The sequence below is a fragment of the Homo sapiens genome, chromosome X (assembly GCF_000001405.40).
Source record: "Homo sapiens chromosome X, GRCh38.p14 Primary Assembly".
NCBI classification, from domain to species: Eukaryota; Metazoa; Chordata; class Mammalia; order Primates; family Hominidae; genus Homo; species Homo sapiens.
This window is the reverse complement of record NC_000023.11, coordinates 38,529,060-38,535,038: the sequence shown is the minus strand read 5'-3', so window position 1 is coordinate 38,535,038 and position 5,979 is coordinate 38,529,060. Positions and strand designations below refer to the sequence as shown.

Below are 5,979 nucleotides of genomic sequence, written 5' to 3'. Positions count from 1 at the left end.
AACTGGCACAGGACAGGGATGCCCTCTCTCACCACTCCTATTCAACGTAGTGTTGGAAGTTCTGGCCAGGGCAATTAGGCAGGAGAAGGAAATAAAGGGTATTCAATTAGGAAAAAAGGAAATCAAATTGTCCCTGTTTGCAGACGACATGATTGTATATCTAGAAAACCCCATTGTCTCAGCCCAAAATCTCCTTAAGCTGATAAGCAACTTCAGCAAAGTCTCAGGATACAAAATCAATGTGCAAAAATCTCAAGCATTCTTATATACCGATAACAGACAAACAGAGAGCCAAATCATGAGTGAACTTCCATTCACAATTGCTTCAAAGAGAATAAAATACTTAGGAATCCAACTTACAAGGGGCATTTACTTTTCAACAAACCCTTTTAGTTACAATGAGTTTTTAAAAGTGAAGTGCAGGCCCTGTAGCCTGGAGCCTCCCTTCGGTGGGTGCTCCAAGGAGGAGGAGGTTTTTGTTGGCCAGGGTTGGGGAAGGAAGGTAGAGGGTGGGTGCTCACTGCACATGGAAGCAGAAAGCAGTTTCCAGTGGGCAGGGGAGTGTGCACACCACGGAGCCAGGCTGCAGGGGATAGGGGAGAGGTTAGGAAGAAGGGGAGGAGCATGCTCCCACATCTACCAACCCATTAAGTCTATTAGGGTCTTGGCTGGTTATCTCTGAGAGTGTGGGACCTGTGCCCACCTCCTCTTTGAGAGGGGAGAGGGATAGAAAGTCCCTCACCTCTCAGCCTGCCTGAGTGGGAATTGGTATGTCTTCTAAAGGGTGAGGTGGCTTTGATCCTGGGTTGCCAGCCAGCACCATGGAAGAGGTAGCTGGACACCTGGAGGATAAAGAGAAAAACTGACTGCCCCACAGACCTGAAAATGGCCATCCCCAAAGGCCAAGACTGCTGGTACCAGGAAGACATGATGACTTTGCCACAATGCTTGAAAAATTACTTTACAGTCAATGACAGCTCCAAGTTCAAAACTACCAAGTCACATACGGAGTGGGAAAATGTAGCATTTAAGGACTTTTCTGTAGACATGTGTAAGCTTGAATGGGTAGAGATTTCTAACAAGGCCAGGAAGTTCCATACATTGACAGAATTGATCCTCAATGCTCAGAAACATGTTACAAATCCTTACAAAGGCAAACAAACAAACAAACAAACAAACAAACAAACAAACAAAAAAACCCTGCAGATTTCCCAAGGAATTCCCTGCTTCCTTATTTCCCTTCTTCATGGAGAAGCACAACAAGTATGTGAAACTCCCCTTGAGATGAGCAATCTGGACCTGACCAAGATTATATCCAAGAAATCCAAGCAGCTTCCGGAGAAGAAGATAAAATATATGCAGGGCTTCCATAAGGAGAAACAAAAGTCTGTAGAAACCTGACCCAATTCAAAGAGGATCACTCTGACCCAATCCAGAATGACAAGAAGTCAGATATCCCCAAGAAGCCCCAAATTCCCCAGCAACTGTGGTACACTCATGAGAAGAAGGTGTATTTCAAAGTGAGCCCAGATGCCACTACGAAGCAGGTAAGAAGGTGAAGGACTTCCTAAGAAGCAGTGGTCTCAGCTCTGGGACAACAAGAGGCTGAAATGGATTAGTAAGGCCCTGGATCAGCAGAAGAAATATGAGGAGACCATGTGGGACTATATCCAGAAGCACCTTGAGCCGAATATCAGTGGGGTCGGCATCACCAAGTTCACCTTCACCAAGGCTGAGAATGGCAGCTCAAGGACAAGTTTGATGGATGACCCACCAAGCCACTTCCCAACAGCTACTTGCCGTACTGAGAAGAGCTCATGGCTGACATGAAGGACACACCCAGCAGAGAGTACATGGTGCTGTGCAACCAACAGTGGAAGCTCCTCTCCCACAAGGAGAAGGATGCCTATCACATGAAGTGCATTCAGAAAAAGAAACATTATGAGGTGGAGCTCCTCCATTTACTTGAGAGACTTCCCCAGGGAGGAGCAGTAGTGGGTCCTGGGGAAGGAGAAGATGTTGAATAGCAACAAGAAGCAAGCCACCAGCCTGGCCTCCAAGAAGCCACCCCAAGATGGGGGTGAGGACAGCTCAGAGAAGCCTAAGTGGCCCATATTGGATGTGTTCATTTCTTTTTTTTCTTTTTTTTTTTTTTTTTTTGAGGAGAAGTGGTAGCAGCTGTGGGAGGAGCAGCCTGAGCTCCCTGGGAGTGAGTGGACCTACCTGCTGGCCCAAATGTGGAATGATCTGGGAAGAAGAAGGCCAAGAACAAGGCCCAGGGGGGAGCACCAGGCACAGGGCAAGCTGCCAGAGTCACCCAAGACAGCAGAGAAGATCTGGTAACAGAGCATCATTAGTGACTACATGGCCCAATTGAAGAACAACTGGGTGAAGGCCTCAAAAGCCATGGAGATGACCTGGAATAACATAAAGAAGAAGGAGAAACTGCTATGGATTAAGAAGGCAGCTAAACACCAAAAGTGATACAAGAGAGAGCCGAGTGAGATGCAGGCACCTCTGGTTGCTAGAAACTCTTCCAGGAAGATAAAATTCCTGGGAGAAACCAAGAAGCCTCCCATGAACAGTTCCCAGGAGCTGCTGTCCAATGGGGAGCTGAACCACCTGCCACTGAAGGAGCGCATGGTGGAGAATGGCAGCCGCTGGCAGCACATCTCCCAGAGCCAGAAGGAGCACTACAAAAAGCTGGCCAAGAAGCAGCAGAAGTGTGCAAGGTACACCTGGGCCTCTGCATCAAGAGTCTGTCTCCCCAGGACCATGTAATTTACAAAGAGTACATCTCCAATGAACATAAGAGCATGACTAAGCTTTGAGACCTGAACTCCAAGTCCAGCTGGACTACCCTGAAGTCCAATTAGAAGTCTGAGGAGAAGGACAGCAAGGATGAAGAGGAAGAAGAGGAAGATGATGAGACTAGTGACTCCTCTGATGGTGGGGACTCCTCCAAGTCCAGCATTGAGGATGAGATCAAAGATAGGGACAAGAATAAGGAGGATGACAAGGATAAAGATGATGAGGAGGATGGCAGTGAGGATGAAGATAATGAATCCACCAGCTCTTCCTCTTCAAGGGACTCCTCAGATTCTGACTCCAACTGAGATCAGCCCCACCCTCAGGCAGCCAGTGAGAGCCCAGGAGCTCACCTCACAAAATATGGTGGGAATATGGGGCTGGAGGAGTCCAAATCAGGATTCTACAGCCTCAGAGACATCAGCCCTGGGGAGTCCTCCAGGGAGAGCAACCACCTGACTGAGCCAACACCAGACCAGTTCCCCCCACCCCACCTACCTGTGACTTGTGCTTCTGGCTTGGATGATGTAACAGGGAGCAGAAATGAGGGGTGCCAAAGAGTTCAGCAAGGTCCTCCACAACTGCAGCTCAAACCAAGGTGGGGTGGGAGTTTTGGGGGGGCCCTTTCTTTTTCAGAGGGGCTTCCTGCCTGGCCCCCGGTATTGGAACTGGAGGCATGGAGCATTTCGGGAGGGGAGGGTAAGTGCCTTTGAGAAAATAGGCACTGCCCTGATGGCCCTCTTCCCTACCCTCTGTAGGAAGGAGCTGCCTGGACCCGCTTATGGGGGAGTGGACAGAAGTGTGTTTTATATGCATATATATTAAGCCGTAAACAAGATGCTTCATTCTGAAAAAAAAATGAAGCACATGATTATTAATAACAACCGAACTACTGACTTTCCGTTTCTCAAGAAAGTTGATCATGGACATGTAATTTGCATAAAAGTTTAGGAGCCATTTACCAGCCACCCTGGGAGCCAAAATAATATTGACTGGCTATATAAAATCTGAGGAGGTAGATCTGTGAAAGATACATAAACATTTATTTCAAAATTTCGTAGTTTCCTTTTTTAATTTATTTTACTTTAAGTTCCGGGATACATGTGCAGAAGGTGCAGGTTTGTTACATAGGTATACATGTGCCATGGTGGTTTGCTGCACTTAGAAAACTTCGTAGTTTCAAAACTTCATAGTTAATTTAAGAAGCCTGGGCCCGAAGATGGCCATTTAACACGTATTAATACGACTTCAGAAGGTGTATTTACATATCACTCAGTAAAGCATGACTTTTAATTTGGATCAAATCATCATTTTCCTAAATTAATGCCATTCATTTCTATTCCAAGTGTTCATGTGCATATATTAAAAATGAACTGATAGATGTTATTGTGTTCACTTCATTAGCAGAGTTTTGCAAAGAATTAAGTGAGGTCAGTTTTATATCAGTGATATTGAATGCTTCAAATAAAACAATCCGTTAATTCCAATGATGGCTAAATTTTTATCACCCAATTCGTTGTATCAAAGTAAAAGTTTTAGAAGTTCATTCTGTCAAAGGGAAAATATGATATTGTTTTGAATTCTATTGAAAATTCATTTTAAAAGTTCAACATTGAGGATTCAGTTATTTGTTTTGTGATATAATATGAAAGTTATTATCATTTTTTGTGAAGCACAGTGTTATGGTAAAAACAAGGTTTTTTTTTAAACTAAATGAAGTTGCCTATAGAGCAGAAGTGTACTTGAATTGGTTGACATGTACACGTAATTCAAAATGATTGCAAAAGAGCTATGATATTATACCACTCAGAAAAGGCAGTTGTCAAAATTTACCAAGGCTTTATAAGCGCGTGCATGTGCACACACACACACACACACACACACTGACACACACAGAAAGATTAACTGAAGTAAAAATATTTTCTAATAAAGTTCATATTGAATTAAAAAATGTAGTATGGCAGCACATGATTTCTCTCAAGCTGAGGAAAAATGTATATAAGAAAGTCTGAGGGAAATTTAAAAATTAAAATAAATTTTAAGTACAATTTTCAAATTTATATTTTGGCCTCCTTCTTCCCAAAAAGGTTGTAGTAGGCAACACCAAAGTAACATTTCTATGAAAATAAAATATTTTTTCTGGAAATATTTAAATGAGCTAAAATTTACATTTCCCTATATTTCAACATTTTAATGACTACTGCATATAACTTACTAGCTAGTACAGTTGTTTTACTAAGATTTGTGCAAGAAGTCACCCTAATCTTTTAACTTTTATATGTGTAAAAATATAGTATATATAATATATAATATATGTAACATATAACAAATGATGCTCTTAAATATTTGCTCTGGGCTTCCTGCTAACCTCCACAGAAAGCAATTGAACTGTTAAGAAATAAATACAATGAGACAGAACAGGTCACTAATAAGGAAATAAATTGATAGTCCCTCTCTACTGCTCAGAGCTGTTGTTGAGATTAATTTAATAATAGGATCACCAAAAAGCTGTTGAGCTCCAAATACAAGGTCTCTTAAGAACCCACTAAGAAGGGGGAAATGGTATTTTCTGGCCCTCCACTACTGTGCCCTGTGTTCCTGTAGATATTTGTTACTTTCCAGCTGCCCAGTATCCACTGCCACTTCCCAGGGCACCCCAATTTTCTTTTGGCGAATATCTCTCCCTGATTAGGGTAGTCTTGGTGTAAGGTAATTCCAGGTTCCTGCCCCACCCTTTGGAAGCCGAAGACATCCAGTCTTTCCTAGCCTTGCCTAGTTTGAGAGCCAGGAAAGAGAAGTTGGTCTGAGCTCCACAAATCTGATACTCTTTTTTTTTTTAAATGAAGAATAGCTATAGTTTCTGCCCTGTGAGAGCATACAATTTTAATAATAAAAACTCTTTTTTTTTATTATTGTACTTTAAGTTCTAGGGTACATGTGCACAATGTGCAGGTTTGTTACATATGTATACCTGTGCCATGTTGGTGTGCTGCACCCATTAACTCATCATTTACATTAGGTATATCTCCTAATGCTATCCCTCCCCCCTCCCCCCACCCCACAACAGGCCCTGGTGTGTGACGTTCCCCATCCTGTGTCCAGGTGTTCTCATTCTTCAATTCCCACCTATGAGTGAGAACATGTAGTGTTTGGTTTTCTGTCCTAGCGATA

At 43.0% G+C, this 5,979-nt stretch overlaps 1 pseudogene; it reads left to right on the top strand.

Annotated features, from left to right (window-relative positions):
- UBTFL11 (UBTF like 11 (pseudogene)) lies at window positions 2,161–3,166 on the top strand (annotated as a pseudogene).